Source organism: Homo sapiens, chromosome 1, assembly GCF_000001405.40.
Source record: "Homo sapiens chromosome 1, GRCh38.p14 Primary Assembly".
In the NCBI taxonomy this organism is placed as follows: domain Eukaryota; kingdom Metazoa; phylum Chordata; class Mammalia; order Primates; family Hominidae; genus Homo; species Homo sapiens.
Window position 1 is genome coordinate 157,053,504 of NC_000001.11, and position 21,675 is coordinate 157,075,178.

General features: G+C 40.2%; 2 pseudogenes, besides 2 other annotated features; one reads left to right on the top strand and one right to left on the bottom strand.

Annotated features, from left to right (window-relative positions):
• Positions 1-5,206: 5,206 nt before the first annotated feature.
• Positions 5,207-7,301, bottom strand: SMU1P1 (SMU1 pseudogene 1; annotated as a pseudogene).
• Positions 13,525-13,725: a silencer, noted in NCBI's record as "peak427 fragment used in MPRA reporter construct". NCBI's record gives its function as "represses an SCP1 promoter by STARR-seq MPRAs in K562 erythroleukemia cells {active_cell/tissue: K562}" and the evidence as "EXISTENCE:reporter gene assay evidence [ECO:0000049][PMID:32103011]".
• Positions 19,678-21,395, top strand: KRT8P45 (keratin 8 pseudogene 45; annotated as a pseudogene).
• Positions 21,016-21,646: an enhancer, noted in NCBI's record as "H3K4me1 hESC enhancer chr1:157044311-157044941 (GRCh37/hg19 assembly coordinates)". NCBI's record gives its function as "activates a minimal SCP1, AML or CMV promoter by ChIP-STARR-seq in primed H9 embryonic stem cells {active_cell/tissue: H9 hESC(primed)}" and the evidence as "EXISTENCE:reporter gene assay evidence [ECO:0000049][PMID:30033119]".

Here is a 21,675-nt window from a genome sequence, read left to right on the forward strand (position 1 = left end):
TTATTCCTTCTTTATATGTTTCGTAGAATACCCCAGTGAAACCATTTGGATCTGGAGTTTCCTTTACATAGGAAAGTTTTAACTAAAATTTCAATCTTCTTAATAGATATAAGAATATAATAGATATACGAAATAAGTCTGTTTGTGTTATCTATTTTGTCTTGAGAGAGCTTTGATAGATTCAGTCTTGCAAAGAATTTGTCCATTTCATCTAAGTTGTTGAATATCTCAGTATACAGCTGTTTATAATATTCCTTTACTATGTTGTTAATATGTATAAAATCTGATCTCTTCCTTTATTCCTGATATTTGTAATTTTTTCCCTAGTCTGACTACAGTTTTATAAATTGTATTGATCTTCTCAAGTACCTTTTGGTTTCATTGATTTTTTCCCTAATTTTTTCTGTTTCATTAATTTCTGCACTGGCATTTATTTTTTCCCTTCTTCTGCTTACTTTGGATTTCATTTTGCTTTTTTCCCCCTAGTTTCTTAAGGTTAAAGCTGAGGTTATTGATTTGAGTTTTTTTTCTAATATAGACACTTTTACATTAAAAATATCTCTGTAAGTACTGTCTTACCTACATCCCACAAATTTTGCTATGTTCTGTGTTCATTTTCATTCAGTTTAAACTCATGGGCCAGGTGCAGTGGCTTACATCTGTAATCCTAGCACTTTGGGAGGCCAAGGCAGGAGGATTGCTTGAGGCTAGGAGTTCAAGAACGACCTGGCCAACATAACAAGACTCTGTCTCTATTTTAAGAAAAGAAAAAAGAAAGAAAGATAAAAAAAAGACCCCATGGATTATTTAGAAGTGAATTACTTAGTTTTTAAATATTTGGGGACTTTTCCAGGTATTTTTCTGTTATTAATTGCTAAGTTAATTATATTGTGGTTAGAGAACATACTTTGTATGACTTGAATCCTTTTAAATTTATTGAGACTTGTTTTATGGCAGTGAATCTGGTCTATCTTGGTAAATATTCCATGCATTCTTGTACTGTTGGGTGGAGTGCTCTAATAAATGTTAGGACAGTTTGGTTAGTAGTGGTGTTCAAGCCTTTATGGCCTTACTGATTTTCTCTCTATTTGTTTGATGAATTAGAGGGTGAGAGAGAGAGAGAGAGAGAGAGAGAGACAGAGAGAGAAACACAGAGAGAGAGAGAGAGAGAGAGAGAATGAGCTATTTAACTATAATTATGGATTTGTCTATTCTTTCAGTTCTATCCATTTTTGTTGCATGTATTTTTGAGCTATGTTAATAGGTGCCTACATGGTTAGGATTATTACATCTTCTTCATGAATTGACTCCTATATCATTATGAAATGACTCTCCTTAACCCTGATAATATTCTTTGCTCTGAAATGTACTCTCTGATATTAATAAAGTCACTCCAACTTTATTTATTTATTTGTTTATTTATTTATTTATTTTTGGGGTGGAGTCTTGCTCTGTCGCCCAGGCTGGAGTACAGTGGCGTGATACCGGCCCACTGCAACCTCTGCCTCCCGGGTTCAAGCAATTCTCCTGCCTCAGCCTCCCGAGTAGCTGGGATTACAGGCCTGTGTCACCACACTTGGCTAATTTTTGTATTTTTAGTAGAGACGGGGTTTCACCATGTTGGCCAGACTGGTCTCAAACTCCTGACCTCAGGTGATCCGCCTGCCTTGCCTCCCAAAGTGCTGGGATTACAGATATGAGCAACCACTCCTGGCCATTAATTTTTTTGAGATGGAGTCTCCCTCTGTTGCCCAGGCTGGAATGCAGTGGTGTGATCTTGGCTCCCTGCAACCGCTGCCTCCTAGGTTCAAGCGATTCTTCTGCCTCAGCCTCCCAACTAACTGGGATTACAGGCATGCACCACCACACCTGGCTAATATTTGTATTTTTTAGTAGAGATGGGGTTTCACCATGTTGCCTAGGCTGGTCTCAAACTCCTGACCTCAAGTGATCTGCCTACCTCAGCCTCCCAAAGTGCTGGGATTACAGGCATGAGCCACCACACCTGGCCCCACTCCAACTTTCTTAAAATTAGAGTTAGCATAGTATATCTTTTTCCACTCTTACTTGTAACTAATATGTGTCTTTACATTTAAAGTGGGTTTATTTATTTCTTTTTTCTCTTCTGATGCAAGGGAACTATTCATAAAGTGGACGATATGGTTTGGCTCTGTGTTCCCACCCAAACCCAAATCTCATCTTGAATTGTAATCCCCACATGTTGGGCGAGGGGCCTGGTGAGAGGTGACTGAATCTTGGGAGCTGATTTCCCCCTTGCTGTTCTCATGATAGTGAGTGAGTTCTCATGAGATCTGATGGTTTAAAAGTGTGTGGCAGTTCCTCCCTCGCTGTCTCTCTCTCTCCTGCTCCACCATGGTAAGACATGCTTGCTTCCCCTTTGCCTTCTGCTATGACTGTAAGTTTCCTAAGGCCTCCTAGTCATGCTTTTTGTTAAGCCTGAGAAACCGCGACTCAATTAAACTTTTCTTTATAAATTACCTAGTCTCAGGTAGTTCTTTATAGCAGTGTGAAAATGGACTAATACAGTGGGTTTTTAGTAGGCAGCACATAGTCATGTCTTGCTTTCTCCACGCCCCCAGTCTGACAATCTCTGCCTTCTAATTGAGTTGTTTAGTATATTTACAGTCAGTGTGATTATTGTTTTGGTTTGGGTTTCAATCTACCATTTTGCTATTATATTTCTCTTTGTCCATCTGTTCTTTCTTCCATTTTTTCTTCCTTCTTTTGGATTGAGTGTATTTTACTGTGGTAAAATATATGTTATATATGTTATATATATAAAACATATATTTATATATATAACATATATATCTATATATAAAACAGATTTATAATTTTAACCGTTTTTAAATGTGCAATTCAGTGGCATTAAGCATATTCACAATATTGTGTAATCATTATGCTATCTTTTTCCAGAACTTTTTTCATTTTCCCAAACAGAAAGTCTGTACCCATTAAGCAATAATTCCCCATTTCCCCTTTCTTGTAGCCCCTGGTACCTCTAATCTACTTTCTGTTGCTATGAATTTGCCAATTCTAAACATCTCATATAGAGATGGAATCATATAATATTTGTCCTTTTGTATCTGGTTTATTTCACTTAGCATAATATTTTCAAGTTTTATCCATGTTGTAGCACATATCAGAATTTCATTACTTTGTATAACTGAATAATATTTCACCATGTGTATATTAATTATTCCACATTTTGTTTATCCATTCATCTGTTGATGGGCACTTGAGTTGTTTCCACATTTTGGCTTTTGTGCAAGTACATGGTTGTCTCTGTTTTCAGTTTTCTTGGATGCATACCTAGGAGGAGAATTGCTGGATTATATGGTGGATTGTATGGTAGTTCTATGTTTAACTTTTTTTTTTTTTTTTTGAGACAGGGTCTCACTTTGTCACCCAGGCTGGAGTGCAGTGACATTACGTAGCCTACTGCAGCCTTGACCTGGGCTCAAGCAATCCTCCCACATCAGTCTCCCAAGTAGCTGGGACTACAGGTGTGTGCCACCATGTTCGGCTAATTTTTAAATTTTTTTTTAGAGATGGGGTCTCACTATGTTGCCCAGGCTGGTCTCGAATTCCTAGGCTCAAGTGACCTTCTCACCTCAGCTTCCCAATGTGCTGGGATTACAAGTGGGGGCCACCGTGCCCAGTTATGTTTAACTTTTTGAGACACTACCAAACTGCTTTCCACAGTGGCTGTACCATTGTACAGTCCCACTATCCACACACAAGGGTGCAAATTTTTCCACATCCTTGCCAAGGACACTTGTTTTCCCTTGTTTTGAGTGTGAAGTGGTATCTCATTGTGGTTTTGATTTGCATTTCCCTTATGACAAATGATGTTGAATATCTTTTCATGTGCTCACTGGCCATTTGTATATCTTCTCTGGAGAAACTTTGCCCATTTTTGAATTGGATTGTTTTGTTGTTGATGAGTTGTTCTTTATTTATTCTGGATATAATTCCGTCAGATATATGATTTTCAAATGTTGCCTCCCATTCTGTGTGTTGGCTTTTCACTTGTGAGTGTCATTTGATGCATTGAGGTGTCTAATTTTGATTAAGCCCAATTTATCTATGTTTTCTTTCATTGCCTGTGCTTTTATTATCATATCTAAGAAACCATTGCCAAATCCAAAGTCATGAAGATATTCCTGTCTGTTTTCTCCTACAAGTTTTATAGTTTTGCCTCTTAAACTTAGTTTTTTGATTCATTTTATCTAATTTTTATATATGGTGTAAGGTAAGGGTTTTATCATGAAAAGTTGTGAGATTTAGTCCAACTTCTTTCTTTTGCATGTGAATATCTATTTTTCCCAGTCCTATTTGTTTAAAAGATTGCCTTTCCTCATTGAATGGTCTTGATATGCTTGTCAAACATCAATTGAACATATATATGAGGGTTTATTTCTTGGGTCTCTATTCTATTCTATTGGTCTATATGTCTATATGCCAGTACTACTGTTGCTTTGTAGTAAGTTTTGAAATTGAGGAGTTTGAGTCATCTTTGTTCTTTTTTGAGATTGTTTTGGCTATTTGGGATCCCTTGAAATTCCAAATAATTTTATGATAAGTTTTTCTATTTCCACCAAAAACCCTGAAACAAACAAACTCCCTTGAGATTTTGATAGGGACTGCATTGATTCTGTAGATTGCTTTGGGTAGTATTGGCACCTTAACAATATTGTCTTCTAACCCATAGACATGGGATGTCTTTCCATTTGTCTAGGTCATCCTTAATTTCCCTCAGCAATGTTTTGTAGTTTTTAGTGTATAAGTCTTTTACCTCCTAGATTAAATTCACTCCTAAGTATTTTATTCTTTTTGATTCTCTGAAAAATAGAATAGTTTTCTTAATTTTATTTTGAAATTCTTCACTACTAGTGTGTATAAATACAACTGACTTTTGTGTGTTTATGTCCTGCAACTTTGCTGAATTTTTTTTCCCAGAAAGGTATAAAGTTTATTAACATCTTAAAAAAAAAGAGAGAAAAAAAAAGATGGGCCGGGCACGGTGGCTTACGCCTGTGATCCCAGCACTTTGGGAGGCCAAGGCGGGTGGATCATTTGATGTCAGGAGTTTGAGACCAGCCTGGCCAACATGGTGAAACCCCATCTCTACTAAAAATACAAAAAAATTAGCCAGGTGTGGTGTTGCACACCTGTAGTCCCAGCTACTCGGGAGGCTGAGGCAGGAGAATCGCTTGAACCCGGGAGGCGGAGGTTGCAGTGAACGAGGATTGTGCCACTACACTCCAGCCTGGGCAATAAGCAAAACTCCATCTCAAAAAAAGAAAAAAAAAAAAAAGATGGAACAGAACACAGCTACTGAATATGATATATTTCCTTATTTATAAATTTTACTATGGGAGGGACATTTTAATCAGCATTTCAAATAATCAAAGGAGTAAAATTTTTTTCTAGAAATATCAGTATTTCACTCTCCAGGTAGAAGATTAATGAAAACATTAAGTGACTGCCCCAGTTAGAAGAAGATAAACTAATACCTTAAAAATATATAAGAAAAGGAAGGGTACTTGCTACTTAAACATGAATTTTCACAAAATTATCCTTGTGACTAATTCAGACAATCTATTTGCTTAGAAAAGCTGGCAAAAAAAAAAAAAGCACATTACATGAATATGCCTTCATTTAAGTACGTGCTTTCAAGCTGATTTAAAAAGAAAAGTTGAATTATGGTTTCCAGAGCTTTAGGAGTCCATCTTCACTGTAGGTAGCAATCAGGTTCTGATGAGGGTGATGTGCAATACCAATCACATCCTTCTCGTGCACTGTCAAAGTTCTTTCCAGTTTGCCAGTGGCTGTACTGAAACAGTAGAGCACAAAGTCCTCCCCTACACAGTAGATCCATTCACCACGGGGAGAGAGGGCACAGAAAAGTCCCCACCTTCTCTTTTACCAGAACTGAAGTTTCTGACAATCTGCCCCTGCATGTTCATGATGACCACTGTGTTTGATCTGTTGCACACCACAAAGTGCTCAGGATTTTTAGGAAGTAGAATCACACTGTTGACGGTAATATCTGTCCCTGCAGTGCTGCCCAGGGATTTAAAGGTATCTGAACATTCTGTGGTCTTCATATTCCAGATCTTTACAGTGCCATCAGAGGATGCACTAATAATATAATGTCCATCTTGTGTAAATGTTGCTTTGTTAACAAAGGAGGAATGGCTACAAAATTCCTTCAGGGTTTTCCCAGATTTTAAACCATGAATTCTAATTGTCTGGTCAAAAGAAGCACTAAGGATCTGACTGCTATCCTTAGAAAAGCTTAGACACGTGACACCCTTACTGTGTGCCCTCTCATATCTCCTTAAATATTGTCTACTCTGAATCTTCCATACCTTGATTTTTCCATCTTGGGCCCCAGTTGCTAACATTTCTGTATCTCTGCTGAAACACATGCAGAGGACAGCATCATCCATCATCATAAAGTTATCCTGGGCCTGGTACTTAAGATCCTTTCTGATTTTTCCAGTAGTAAAGTTCCATACTTCAGTGAGTCCATCAACAGACCCAGTGACCAAATAGTGACCATCTGGAGAAAATCGAGCACACTCCACTTGTGATTTCTGACCAAACTTAATATGCCTGCTCAGTTGTGTAGGAAACTTTTCTTCTTCCACATCTTTGACAGCTGCTTTGCCTCAAAACAAATCTATGGTCATACCAGGAGGAAGCAATCCCTGATGCTGCTGCCACTTCAGTGCCTGTCCCAGCAGTGCCATGAGACGAGATGGAGGCACCACGCTGACTTCACCAGCTAAGGCCTGGGCAATTGCTGCTCTTCTCTTTTCTTTGCTACTTCCATCTGGGTATGCCTCACGAGGATCAAAGTAAGACCTGGCCAAAAGGTTCTCCAGATGAATATATTGCTCTGGCTATGTTTGTTTTAACATGATCATGGGATCAGTCTGTCTCAATAGTGACTTGGCAGCACCCAATTCACGGAGCTCTATCAATTCCAGAACAATCTGTTCATAGAGGTCAATGAGGGTTTTGTCTGGCAATTTCAGAGACTGTATAGCCTGCAACACAGTATCCCAATGGCCACTGTTAATGTCAGCCACAAAACTCTCAATGCTGTCCACAGCATTCAGAGACACAGTAGTCTCCTCCTGCAAGGTGGCTAATGCCCGATGTAAACCGTTCTCCTTCAAGTACTGCATGATAAGGTGGATCACATCCGAAGATTCAGTTTTGATCAACGTAGCTGTATCTCTCTGGGAGCAGGCCCCAGTTCTCCCCTGAATTTGTTTATTCATTCTAACTATTTCTGTGTATGTATTCTTTAAGGTTTTCTACATATAATGCCATATCATCTGCTAATAGAAATAATTTTACTCCTTCCTTTCCAATTTGGATGGCTTTTTTTTTTTTTTTTTTTTTTTGCGTAATTGCTCAGGTTAGAACTTACAGGACTATTTTGAATAGAAGTGATGAAAGTGGAAGAATCTGTCTCATTCCTGACCTTAGGGGAAAGCTTCCAGTCTTTCACCAGTGAGTATGGATCTTTCATATATGGTCTTGATCATGCTGAGAAAGTTTCCTTCTATTTTTGGTTTATTGAGTGTTTTTATCATGAAAGGATGTGAGATTTTGTCAAATGCTTTTTCTGCATCAATTGAGATGATCATGGTTTTTAAAATTAATTCTATTAGTGAGGTATTTTACATTGATTGATCTTTGTATGTTGAACCATCCTTGCATTCTGAGAATAAATCCCACTTGGTCATGGTGTATAATCCTTTTAATATGCTGCTGAATTCAGTTTGCTAGTATTTTGTTGAGAATTTTTGCGTCTGTATAAGGGATATTGGTCTGTAATTTTCTTGTGGTTTCCCTATCTGGCTTTGGTATCAGGGTAATGCTGGCCTCATTGAATGAGTTAGGAAGTATTCCTGCCTCTTCAATTTTGGGGAAGAGTTAGAGAAAAATTTATACTAATTCCTCCTTAAATATTTGGTAGAATTTATTAGTGAAGTTATCTGGTCCTGGGGCTTTTCTTTGTTGGAAAGTGTATTAGTCTGCTTGGGCTGCCATAACAAAATACTACAGACAGGGTGACAGAAACAACAGACATTTGTTTTTCACAGTTCTGGAGGTTGGGAAGTCCAAGATCAGGGTACCAGCACTGTTGGGTTCTGGTGAGGACTTTCTTCCTGGATTGCAGATAGCCGCCTTCTCACTGTATTCTTACCTGGTGGAGAAAAAAACTAGAGAAAGCTCTCAAATCTCTTCCAATAGGGACACTAATCCCATCATGAGGGCCTGATCCTCATGACCTCATCTGAACCTCCCAAAGGTCCCCATGTCCAAATATCATCATACTGAGGTTAGAGCTTCAACATATGAATTTGGTGGGACATAAGTTAGTCCATAGCAGGAGGTTTTTTATGACTGGTTTGATATCCATATGACTTACAGGTCTATTTAGATTTTCTATTTCTTTTCGAGTTAGGGTAATTTGTGTGTTTCTAGAAGTCTGTTCATTTCAGCATGGCTCTCCAGTTGGTTGACATACAATTGTTCATAGTATTCTTTTATAATCCTTTTTACTTCCGTAAAATTGGTAGTAATGTCCTAACTTTTATTTCTGATTTTAGTATTTTGAGTCTTCTTTTTTTCTGTCAACCTAGCTAAAGGTTTGTTAATTTGTTGATCTTTTCAAAGAACCAAGTTTTGGTTTCATTGACTCTCTCCATTTTCTGTTATTTTCTTTTTTATTTATGTTCACTCTACTCTTATTATTTCTTACCTTCTGCTAACATTGGGCTTAGTTTGCTCTTTTTTTTCTAGTTTCTTAAGATATATGGTTATATTTTTAATGATTTATTTTAATCTCTCTTATTGACTTATTAGCTATAACTTTTTGTTGTGCTATTATAGTACGCATTAATTTTTCTTTACTACTATCAAGTGGTATTATTCTACTTTGCATATAATATAATAACCCGTAACAATACCCTTCTATTTCTCTCCTCCCAGCTTTTGTGCTATTGTTAACATATATTTTACTTCTACATTTGTTGCAAATTCTACATTACATTGTTATTCTTTTTGTTTTAAACAGTCAATTGCCTTTTAAAGAGATTTAAATAATTAATATAGAAATCTTTGTATTTACCCACATACTGACTATTTCTGGTGCTCTTCATTTTTTTGTATAAATCCAGATTTTCATCTGGTATCATTCCTTCTGCCTGAAATACTTCCTTTAACATCTCTTATTGTGTAGTGTCTGCTGATGATAAATTCTTTCAACTTTCGTATGCCTGAAAATGTTTTATTTTATTTATTTATTTTCTAGACAGGGTCTTACTCTATTACCCAGGCTGACTGCAGCGGTACAATCACGGCTCACTGTAGCCTCGACCTCCTAAGCTCAAACAATCCTCCCACCTCAGCTTCCTGAGCAGCTGAGACAAGAGGCATGCACCATGCCTGGCTAATTGTCTTTATTTCTTGTAGAGATGGAGCCTTGCCATATTGCCTAGGCTGGTCTTGAACTCCTGGGCTCAATTGATCCTCCCACTTCAGCCTCCCAAGATGCTGGGATTACAGGCATGAGCCATCGTGCCTGGCCTGTCTTTTTTATTTATGTATTTATTTATTTATGTATTATTGAGACGGAGTCTTGGCCTGCCACCCAGGCTGGAGTGCAGTGGTGCAATCGCGGCTCACTGCAGCCTCTGCCTCCTGGGTTCAGGATTCTCCTGCCTCAGCCTGCTGTGTAGCTGGGACTACAGGTGCACACCAACATGCCCGGCTAATTTTTTTGTGTGTTTTTTTTAGTGGAGACAGGGTTTCACCATGTTGGTCAGGCTGGTCCTGTCTTTATTTTTGAAGGACATGTAGAGTTAAAGGTTTCTAAGTTGACAGTTTATTTTCTTCTAATAGTTAAAAGATGTTGCTCCGCCATCTTCTAACATGCATTTTTTTTTTAAATAATGAGAAATCATCTTTATACCCTATCTTTATTCTTCTGTATGTAATGTGTATTTTTTCCTCTGGCTTCCTTCAAAATCTTCTTTTTATCTATTGTTTTAAACAATTGGATTATGATGTTCTTAATGTAGTTTCTTTACTTGCGGGTTCATTGAGCTTCTTGGATCTGTGGGTTATAGTTTTCATGAAATTTGGTAAATTTTTGTTATTTCTTCAGATATTTTTGTCTGTTTCCCTCATCTCATTCCTCTCCTTTGGAAACTAATTTCTGTGTAATAGGACACTTGAAGTGTCTCACAGCTCACTGAATCTCTTTTTTTTTTCAGTCTTTTTTTCTCTTTATGCTTCATTTTGGATAGTTACTATTGCTATTCTATAAATCCATTAATCTTTTCTTCTGCTATGTCTAATTTGCTATTAATCATATCCAGTGTATTTTTCATTTAAAACATTAGAGTTTTCATAACAAGAACTTCAATTAGGTTCTTTTTACATTTTTTTGTATGTCTATGCTTAATATGCTCAGTCTTTCCTTTAGCTTCTTGAATGTGTGTAATACAGTTAAAATAATTCTTTGTGGGTACTAATTCTATCTCATGTATCATTTCTGGATCAGTTTCAGTTGACTGATATTTTTCCTATTGTAGGCAATAATTTCCTTTGCATGCCTGGCATTTTTTTTTCATGGATATTCTTTCTCAAATTGAGGAAATTTCTCTCTATTCCTAGCTAACTGAGAGTTTTATCCTTAATAGATGTTGGATTTTGTCAAATGCTTTTTCTGCATCTATTAATATGATCATGTAATTTTTCTTCATTAGCCAGCTGATGTGATGGATTATGTTATTTAATTTTGGATTTCTTTTTTATACTTTAAGTTCTAGGGTACATGTGCACAATGTGCAGGTTTGATCCGTAGGCATACATGTGCCATGTTAGTTTGCTGCATCCATAATTCATCATTTACATTAGGCATTTCTCCTAATGCTATCCCTCCCCCAGCCCCCCAACCCCCGACAGGCCCTGGTGTGTGATGTTCCCTGCCCTGTGTCCAAGTGATCTCATCGTTCAATTCCCACCTATGAGTGAGAACATGCGGTGTTTGGTTTTCTGTCCTTGTGATAGTTTGCTGAGAATGATGGTTTCCAGCTTCATCCATGTCCCTGCAAAGGACGTGAACTCATCCTTTTTTATGGCCGCATAGTTTTCCATGGTGTATATGTGCCACATTTTATTTATCCAGTCTATCATTGATGGGCATTGGGTTGGTTCCAAGTCTTTGCTATTGTGAATAGTGCCACAATAAACATATGCGTGCATGTGTCTTTATAGTAGCATGATTTATAATCCTTTGGGTATATAATCCCCAGTAATGGGATTGTGGGGTCAAATGGTAATTCTAGTTCTAGATCCTTGAAGAATTGCCACACTGTCTTCCACAGTGGTTGAACTAATTTACACTCCCACCAACAGTGTAAAAGTGTTCCTATTTCTCCACATCCTCTCCGACAAAGTTATTTCCTGACTTTTTAATGATTGCCATTCTAGCTGGCGTGAGATGGTATCTCATTGTGGTTTTGATTTGCATTTCTCTGATGACCAGTGATGATAAGCATTTTTTCATGTGTCTGTTGGCTGCATAGATGTCTTCTTTTGAGAAGTGTCTGTTCATATCCTTTGCTCACTTTTTGATGGGGTTGTTTTTTTTCTTGTAAATTTGTTTGAGTTCTTTGTAGATTCTGGATATTAGCCCTTTGTCAGATGGGTAGATTGCAAAAATTTTCTCCCATTCTGTAGGTTGCCTGTTCACTCTGATAGTAGTTTCTTTTGCTGTGCAGAAGCTCTTTAGTTTAATAAGATCCCATTTGTCTATTTTGGCTTTTGTTGCCATTGCTTTTGGTGTTTTAGTCATGAAGTCCTTGCCCGTGCCTATGTCCTGAATGGTATTGCCTAGGTTTTCGTCTAGGGTTTTTATGGTTTTAGGTCTAACATTTAAGTCTTTAATCCATCTTGAATTAATTTTTGTATAAAGTGTAAGGAAGGTATCCAGTTTCAGCTTTCTACATATGGCTAGCCAGTTTTCCCAGCACCATTTATTAAATAGGAAATCCTTTCCCCATTTCTTGTTTTTGTCAGGTTTGTCAAAGATCGGATGGTTAGATGTGTGGTGTTATTTCTGAGACCTCTTGCTTTTCCATTGGTCTATATATCTGTTTTGCTACCACTACCATGATGTTTTGGTTACTGTAGCCTTGTAGTATAGTTTGAAGTCAGGTAGTGTGATGCCTCCAGCTTTGTTCTTTTTGCTTAGGATTGTCTTGGCAATGCAGGCTCTTTTTTTGTTCCATATGAACGTTAAAGTAGTTTTTTTTCCAATTCTGTGAAGAAAGTTATTTGTAGCTTAATGGGGATGGCATTGAATCTATAAATTACTTTGGACAGTATGGCCATTTTTATGATACTGATTCTTCCTATCCATGAGCATGGAATGTTATTCCATTTGTTTGTGTCCTCTTTTATTTCCTTGAGCAGTGGTTTGTAATTCTCCTTGAAGAGGTCCTTTATATCCCTTGTAAGTTGGATTCCTATGTATTTTATTCTCTTTGTAGCAATTGTGAATGGGAGTTCACTCATGATTTGCCTGTCTGTTTGTCTGTTAATGGTGTATAAGAATGCTTGTGATTTTTGCACATTGATTTTGTATCCTGAGACTTTGCTGAAGTTGCTTATCAGCTTAAGGAGATTTTGGGCTGAGATGATGGGGTTTTCTAAATACACAGTCATGTCATCTGCAAACAGGGACAATTTGACTTCTTCCTTTCCTAATTGAATACCCTTTATTTCTTTCTCTTGCCTGATTGCCCTGGCCAGAACTTCCAACACTATGTTGAATAGGAATGGTGAGAGAGGGCATCCCTGTCTTGTTCATGCCTGGCAATTTTTTACTGGATAATAGGCATTGTGAGTTGTACTTTGTTGGGTGCTAGATATTTTTGATTTCTTATATATATTCTTGAATTTTGCTGTAGAATGCAGTAAAGTTTCTTAGAAACAGTCTGAACCCTTCAGATTGTTCTTTTAAACTTTGTGAGGTAAAACCAGGACTACATTTATTCTAAGGTTGATTTTTTCCCCCTCATTATTGAGGCTAGACCTTTCTGTGTACTCTGCCTTACCTTGTGAATTAAGAGATCTTTCACTCTGGCTGGTGGGAACAGACACTATTGCTGGCCCTGTGTGAGTGTCAAGGGTTATTCTTTCTTTTTCTTTTTTTTCTTTTTTTTTTGAGTTGGAGTCTTGCTTTATCGCCCAGGCTGAAGTGCAATGGCACGATCTCAGCTCACTACAACCTCCACCTCCCAGGTTCAAGGAATTCTCATGCCTCAGCTTCCTGAGTAGCTGGGATTACAAACATGCACCACCAAGCTGGGCTAATTTTTATATTTTTAGTAGAGACGAGTTTTCACTATGTTGGCCAGACTGGTCTTGAACTCCTAACCTCAAGTGATCCACCTGCCTCGGCCTCCCAAAGTACAGGGATTGCAGGTGTGAGCCACTGTGCCTGGCCAAGCATTATTCTTTCTAATCCTTTCAGGAAGTTTTTTCCTCACTCTGAGGAAATTTCCTCACGTACATTCATTGATCTAAATTCAGCTGAGTACTCAAAAGAAACCGGCCCTGTGCAGATCTCTGGAGTCCTCTCTATGCAGCAGTTTCCTTTTTGATACTCTGGCCTGTGAACTCCAGCCACCTTGCCCTCCTGGACTCTTAATTTTGACTCCTCAACTCGGGGAATACCACAGGACTCCACTTGAGTTCCCCCTTCCTGTGCCTTGGCCTGGAAACTTTGTCCAGGAAGTAAGCTGGAGCAATGTAGGGCTCCCTGCATTTGTTTTCCACTTCTCAGGAGTCGCTGTCCTTCATTTCCTGGTATCCAATGTCTTGAGAACAATTGTTTCATATATTTTGTCTATTTTTTTTAGTTGTTTCAGTTGTTTTCAACTGAAACAACCGAATCCAGTTCCTACTACTCTATCTGGGCTAAAAAGAAAAATTCTGCTTGCCCTTTATTTTCAAACTTTAACCCTACTCCTATACTTAAAATCTGAAAAATTTTCGCATTGGTGAAATTTTTAAAGGAAGGCTGTTCATGTTACCCTTTTAGGAGGGAGGCTTTTTAGTCTAATGATCAGCTCTTGAGCCCTCTGTCTGGATTTGATTCTTAGATCCTCCAGGGTTCAAGATTCAAGCCGTGTGATCTTGGAAACGTTAACTAATTTATCTGTGCCTGTATCCACATTTTAAAAGTAGTTAATAATAACAATAATACCTTGCCTATAGAGCTGGTGTAAAGACTAAATGAGTTAATACTTGTAAAGTGCTTGTACAATGCCTGACACATAGCAGGTGATTATTAAAGTTGGCTATTTGCATAAATGAAGAGTGCAAGCATTGTGTAATGAGACAAGCTTGGCTATTGTTGGATACAGATTGGTGGGAGGTCATGAGAAATGAGGTTGGTAAAGGAGGATGAGCACAGTGGAATAAAGTTTGGAGACTGGGCTAATTTTTGTTGAGATTGAATGGACCAATCAGCATGGGAAAAAATGTACAACAGGGCCGGGAGTGGTGGCTCACACTTGTAATCCCAGCACTTTGAGAGGCCAAGGCTGGAGGAATGCTTGAGCCCAGGGGTTCAAGACCAGCCTGAGAACATAATGAGTCCCCATCTCTACAAAAGAAATGAAAAAATTACCCAGGTGTGATGGCACACACCTGTAGTCCAGCTACTCCATAGCCATGATCATACCACTGCACTCCAGACTGGCACAGAAACTCTGTCTCTAAAAAAACAAACCAACCCAGTAAACAAACAAACAAAAAATGAGCAACCTCTTTCATAAGGGGTACATATTCAAATAAGATGTCATTTACCAATCAGTACCAAATTTTCAAAGCATTAGAAAAGTAAAACTATCTAATGTGGGCAAGAAGTGTTCCATGAAATAGAAACTCTCATTGAATAAAGTAGAAACTGATTTTTACTCTTTGGGGGACAATTTGGCAGCATGAATAAAGAGCCTTACAGTGGATGTATCTTTTGCTTCAATAATTCCTCAAGGATGTTTATTGCAGCATCATTACTTATACTAATACAAAATTGGAAAAATTTTTGATAATATAAAATAATTGAATTACAGCCTAACTGTATTCTGGAATATTATCAGGTATGCCAATTTTGTAAAACAAAACCAGGAACACAAACATATTCTTACACCCCCACACACACCCCCCACACATACACATAAGACTGTGGCCGGGCACAGTGGCTCACGCCTGTAGTCCCAGCTACTTGGGAGGCTGAGGCAGGAGAATGGCGTGAACCTGGGAGGCAGAGCTTGCAGTGAACCGAGATCGCACCACTGCACTCCAGCCTGGGCAACCAAGCAAGACTCCGTCTCGGAAAAAAAAAAAAAAAAAAAGATTGTTAGGCAACATGCCAACATAATAACAATATTATTTCTGGGTGATGGAATGACAAGAGATTTATATAGTCTTCTTTACACTTCTCCATTTGTTTTCCTCCAGGTTTTCTGCAATAACCTGTATTAGTCCAATAATAAAAACATCCAATTTTTAAATTATTTTATTTTTTATTTTTATTTATTTATTTTTTTTGTGATGGAGTCTCGCTCTGTTGCCTAGGCTGGAGCATAGTGGCACAATCTTGGCTCACTGCAACCTCTGCCTCCCAGGTTCAAGTGATTCTCCTGCATCAGCCTCCTGAGTAGCTGGGACTACAGGAGGGCGCCACCATGCCTGGCTAATTTTTGTAGTTTTAGTAGAGACGGGTTTTCACTATGTTGGCCAGGCTGGTCTCAAACTCCTGACCTCGTGATCCACCTGCCTCGGCCTCCCAAAGTGCTGGGATTACAGGCGTGAGCCACCGCGCCTGGCCCTAAATTATTTTAATTTTAAGAGAGGACAGCAGGGAGCCAGTAGGATTATCTGGTGGAGATGGGAAAAGGTAAAGACTACTTCATTCCAGCAGCAATACGTAAAGTGGGATGGATAAGGGCCCAGATATTCTGACTACCACTTTTTCATGTACTTGGATGAGTTTCACAGGAGGCTTTTATGGAGTCCTGTCCAAGGACTTGCACCCATAGTGACCTTTCCCACTGTGTTTTCAGAGGAAAGTTGCAAGAAGCCACTATAGCCTGTAGCTCTTTGCTGGCAGGCTGGGCTCCCTGCTTGGTGGTTTTTGAAAAAGCACAACAGCTGCAGGGATAGCCCAGCATGTGTGCCAACCTATTCTGATGCCTCACTAATCCTCGCAGCTGGAGAACACACAGCAGTCAGACTGGAGAGATTAGAGATTCTCAACCAAGATCACAATGATTCCAACAGTGGGAGAGACTGCCTTTTTGAGAAGTGGGTTAGCATTAGGGATAGAAGTGGGAGGCGAGAAGCTGTGCTGCTGGATAGGGTGAAGGGTGAGGTTGAAATTGGAAGTCCTAAAATGAGTATGTGTGGTGGAATAATGAAGATTGAGGAAGAAAAATTAAATGGAGTGGACTCATGTAAAAACGACATTGGATGAAGGGGAAGCTCTAATCAATCTGAGTCAGTCTTGGCTTTTATGGACAGGAGAGGAAGAGATCCTTGGCAGCCCAAGGCTTTCCTAATTCATGTTAACTATAGGCCTACATCATGGTGTCAGTGGTAGGAAACAGAAAGAGGTCTGCCAAGAACTAGGTATCTGAGCAGAGCTGAGTAAATGGTGGATATTGAGGCTTGGGTAAAAAGATGGACAGTGAATAAAGAGAGCTTCCTGTTGCTAAGTAGATACACCAAGCTAGGTAGGCCAGGCTAGCACAGACGACAAGGAGCACATAAATCAGGGTCCATGGGGTTTAGAGGGTGAAGGCCAGCCCATGAGCCCAGGAAACACAGGGACATGGCTGAGGAGTGACTGAAAAGCTGAGCATTGACACATGGGAACCCCAACAGAGTGTGAGCAGCAGATGTAGGGAGTGCCCTGCTAGAAAATGGGGAGCACCCTCCAGGCTGTCATCGTCTAGATGGGAGCTCGTAGATTTTAGAGCTCTAAGATTGCTCAGAGATGACCTAATTTAATCTCGCCTTTTTTTCCAGAAAAGAAAATGGAAGCCCAAAGCCATGACCATAATTCTTCCATCCTCTTTGAGACTCTTTTAGTCTAGCAACATGACCCTCTGCTCCTATTTGTTATATAGAAAATTGACATATAGGGATTTGGTCACATCTAAAATTCTGGCACCTGACTCAGTTCTCCTATATCTTGTGGATCCTGCCATCATCTTGGATGGCTTTCAGGATCAGTGTTAATGGCTGTTCAATGTTCAAGCTTTTTTGTCCTTTGTCTAGTGTTCAATTTCTTTTACTTTTACTCTATGTCATCCACTTACTCTTATGCCGTATCATGGAGTTTGTTATCAACTGATTCTTCAAGCCCAATATCCCTGGCTATGACTTCCTTCCCTATCAACACTTATCTCTCTCTGCATCTGTTCTCTCTCACTAAAATCAACATTCCCTTCACTCCTCCAATTTCTCCAGTCTATCGGTCTATACCTATGATCCATCACTTCTCTTATTAATACCCCCAAACCCATTGTTCCTTTATAAACTTCAACCCCAGAGCAGTACATCTGTCCTCCTTTTCCGACCCTGTATCTGTGTTGGCGAGGACTGCTGGACAGTCAGTTACCCAACCACGGAATTTTATACCAGTACAAATTCATGATCTCTTCCCTCTGCTTGATTCCCTGTGATCCTGTGTGTTTCTGAGAGGTATCAACTCCTCCCCTTTCCCCCATAGCAACTACTATAAACTTTCACCCCTTGCTTCAAGTGTTCCCCTCCACAAGTCTTCTTATTTGTTTTATGAAAATAAAAAAGATGAAGTTATAACTCATATTTAAAGCTCACCCCCACCCCTAAGGTTCTCTGTAAACCTCTCCACCTTACTTTTGTCCTCAAGTCTCAGTGAGAACTTGTGCTATAAATTGTCATTTTGTCTCCTGTATCTTTATCTTCTCCCTTTCTACTGTCTTTTTCCTCTGACATATTTATGCATCTTTTCCATTTACAAAACATGAAACCTACCTAACCTCTGGCGCCTCTTCACAACCAAGCTCCTTGAAAGAATAATCTACATTTTTACCTCCACTGCTCATTTTTCTTCAGCATGTTTCAGTCTGGATTTCTTCCCCACTGTATTTCTGAACTGCCCGGGCAGCAGTCTCCAGTGGCTGCCATTCTGTCAGGTCCAGTGGATATATTTTGGTGACCACTGGACTCTTTTGAGACACTTGACACCATTGATCACAGCCCTTAAACCCTGCCATGGCTTTTGTGACATAACCTTTTATATTGATAAAATGGAGGAATGAATATAATATTTGGGGAGCATGGGAAAAGTGATAATTAGGTTGAGTCTTTAAAAAATAGTTAGGGCTTAATCATTATTTTGGGGAATTTAAGGCATTCTTGGCAGAGGAATCTGCCTGTGCAAAGGCTAGGAAGTCTGGGATAAAAAGAGTGGTAGGGAAGAAAAATATTTGTAGAATTCAAACATATAGTTTAATGGGAAGGCAGTGGAAGAGGAGGTCTACTGAGGTTAGATTATCGAGAGTCTCACAGATGATTTTGAGGAGTTAGGATTGGGTCAGGAAAGGCATCTTCAAGACAGTGAATTCTTTAAAGTCTTTTTTTTTTTTATTTCAATAGCTTTTGGGGTATAAGAAGTTTTGGTTACATGGGTGAATTGTATAGTGATGAAGTTTGAGATTTCAGTGCACCTGTCAGCTGAGTATTATACATTGTACCCATTGTACCCTTTGCTTGTCCCCCACTTCTGAGTCTCCAGTGTCCATGATACCACTCTGAATGCCCTTGTGTACCCATAGCTTAGCTCCCATTTGTAAGTGAGAACATGCAGTATTTGATTTTCCATTTCTGAGTAACTTCATTTTGAATAGTGGCCTTCAGCTCCATACAAGTTACTGTAAAAGACATTATTTTGTTCTTTTTATGGCTGAGTAGTACTCCATGGTGTATATATACCACATAAGGAAGTAAATTCTTATAGTAATGGAGACTAAAGAATTCAGAACAATCTTCCTACTGAGAATAGTCATAAAACTGAATTAAATATTTAGAAAACATAAAAAGCAATTAAGATAGGAATTAATAGGCCAACATCTAGGAGAAGATGAAAATCTAGTGAGACATGCCCTTCACTCAAAGTTGTATTTGCCCTGAGAGCCATTTCCAATCTTCCAAACTAAGCTGTATTTTTGGTGATGACGTGGGGCTAAGGTGACAAAAATAAAAACCCAAGACCTGCCAAAGGTGAGGCTCTGATAAGACACGTCCATTTTAAACCAGAATCTCAAAGGGCTACACCCTTAGGTGTAGATCAAAACAACAAATATGTTCAAATCTATGAATTCCTAATGACAAAAACAACGGCAATAAAGCAAAGTAAATTGGTTACTTGGAGGATGCTAGGGAACCAGTTTAATTTTTTTTTTTTTGAAAACTGGTAAATACAGGAAATAATCATATATGTATTCTGTCTTTCCTATATAAACTGCACTACTGGGTAACTAATAAAAGATGAAGGGGACCAAGAAGCAGCTTCTCCGCTCCTTCTAGGATATCCGCCTGGTTTGGCCCGCCTGCCTCCACTCCTGCCTTCACCATGTCCATCAGGGTGACCCAGAAGTCCTACAAGTTGTCCACCTCTGGTCCCCGGGCCTTCAGCAGCCACTCCTACTCGAGTGGGCCCAGTGCCTGCATCAGCTCCTTGAGCTTCTCCCAAGTGGGCAGCAGCAGCTTTCGGGGTGGCCTGGGTGGCGGTTATGGTGGGGCCAGCGGCATGGGAGGCATCACCGCAGTCATGGTCAACCAGAACCTGCTGAGCCCCCTTGTCCTGGAGGTGGACCCCAACATCCAGGCCGTGTGCACCCAGGAGAAGGAGCCGATCAAGACCCTCAACAACAAGTTTGCCTCCTTCATAGACAAGGTACGGTTCCTGGAGCAGCAGAACAAGATGCCGGAGACCAAGTGGAGCCTCCTGCAGCAGCAGAAGACGGCTCGGAGCAACATGGACAAGTTCGAGAGCTACATCAACAACCTTAGGCAGCAGCTGGAGATTCTGGGCCAGGAGAAGCTGAAGCTGGAGGCGGAGCTTGGCAACATGCAGGGGCTGGTGGAGGACTTCAAGAACAAGTATGAGGATGAGATCAATAAGCGTACAGAGATGGAGAATGAATTTGTGCTCACCAAGAAGGATGTGGATGAAGCTTACATGAACAAGGTAGAGCTGGAGTCTCGCCTGGAAGGGCTTACTGAAGAGATCAGCTTCCTCAGGCAGCTGTATGAAGAGGAGATCCGGGAGCTGCAGTCCCAGATCTCAGACACATCTGTGGTGCTGTCCATGGACAACAGCCACTCCCTGGACATGGACAGCGTCATTGCTGAGGTCAAGGCACAGTACGAGGACCGCCAGCCGCAGCCAGGCTGAGGCTGAGAGCATGTACCAGATCAAGAATGAGGAGCTGCAAGAGCCTGGCTGGGAAGCACGGGGATGACCTGTGGCGCACAAAGACTGAGATCTCCTAGATAAACCGGAACATCAGCCGGCTCCAGGCTGAGATTGAGGGCCCCAAAGGCCAGAGGGCTTCCCTGGAGGCCGCCATTGCAGATGCACAGCAGCGCGGAGAGCTGACTATTAAGTATGCCAACGCCAAGTTGTCCGAGCTGGAGGCCGCCCTGCAGCGGGCCAAGCAGGACATGTTGCGGCAGCTGCGTGAGTACCAGCAGCTGATGAACGTCAAGCTGGTCCTAGACGTCGAGATCGCCACCTACAGGAAGCTACTGGAGGGCGAGGAGAGCCGGCTGGAGTCTGGGATGCAGAACATGAGTATTCACACGAAGACCACCAGCGGCTATGCAGGTGGTCTGAGCTCGGCCTATGGGGGCCTCACAAGCCCCAGCCTCAGCTATGGCCTGGGCTCCAGCTTTGGCTCTGGCGCGGGCTCCAGCTCCTTCAGCCGCACCAGCTCCTCGAGGGCCGTGGTTGTGAAGAAGATCGAGACACGTGATAGGAAGCTGGTGTCCGAGTCCTCCGACTCCTGCCCAAGTGAACAGCTGAGGCAGCCCCTCCCAGCCTGCCCCTTCTGCGCTGCCCCAGAGCCTGGGAGGGAGGCCACTATGCAGGGTAGCACTGGGAACAGGAGACCCACCTGAGGCTCAGCCCTGGCCCTCAGCCCACCTGTGGGGGAGTTTACTACCTGGGGACCCCCCTTGCCCATGCCTCCAGCTACAAAACAATTCAATTGCTTTTTTTTTTTTTTTTGGTCTAAAATAAAACCTCAGCTAGCTCTGTCAAAAAAAAAAAAAAAAAAAAGATGAAGGGGAATTTATCCTTATAGGTGTATTCTATCTAATAAATCAATATATGATGTAATTGGGATATCAATATTATATAACTTCCAGTGAACTAATGGATTGACCATAAATTAGCATAGAGAGACTACTATACACTCTACACAACACTATCTATGAAGTTATCTTACTAAAAGGATACCATTAAACTGTAATCATCAAAATGCAGACTAT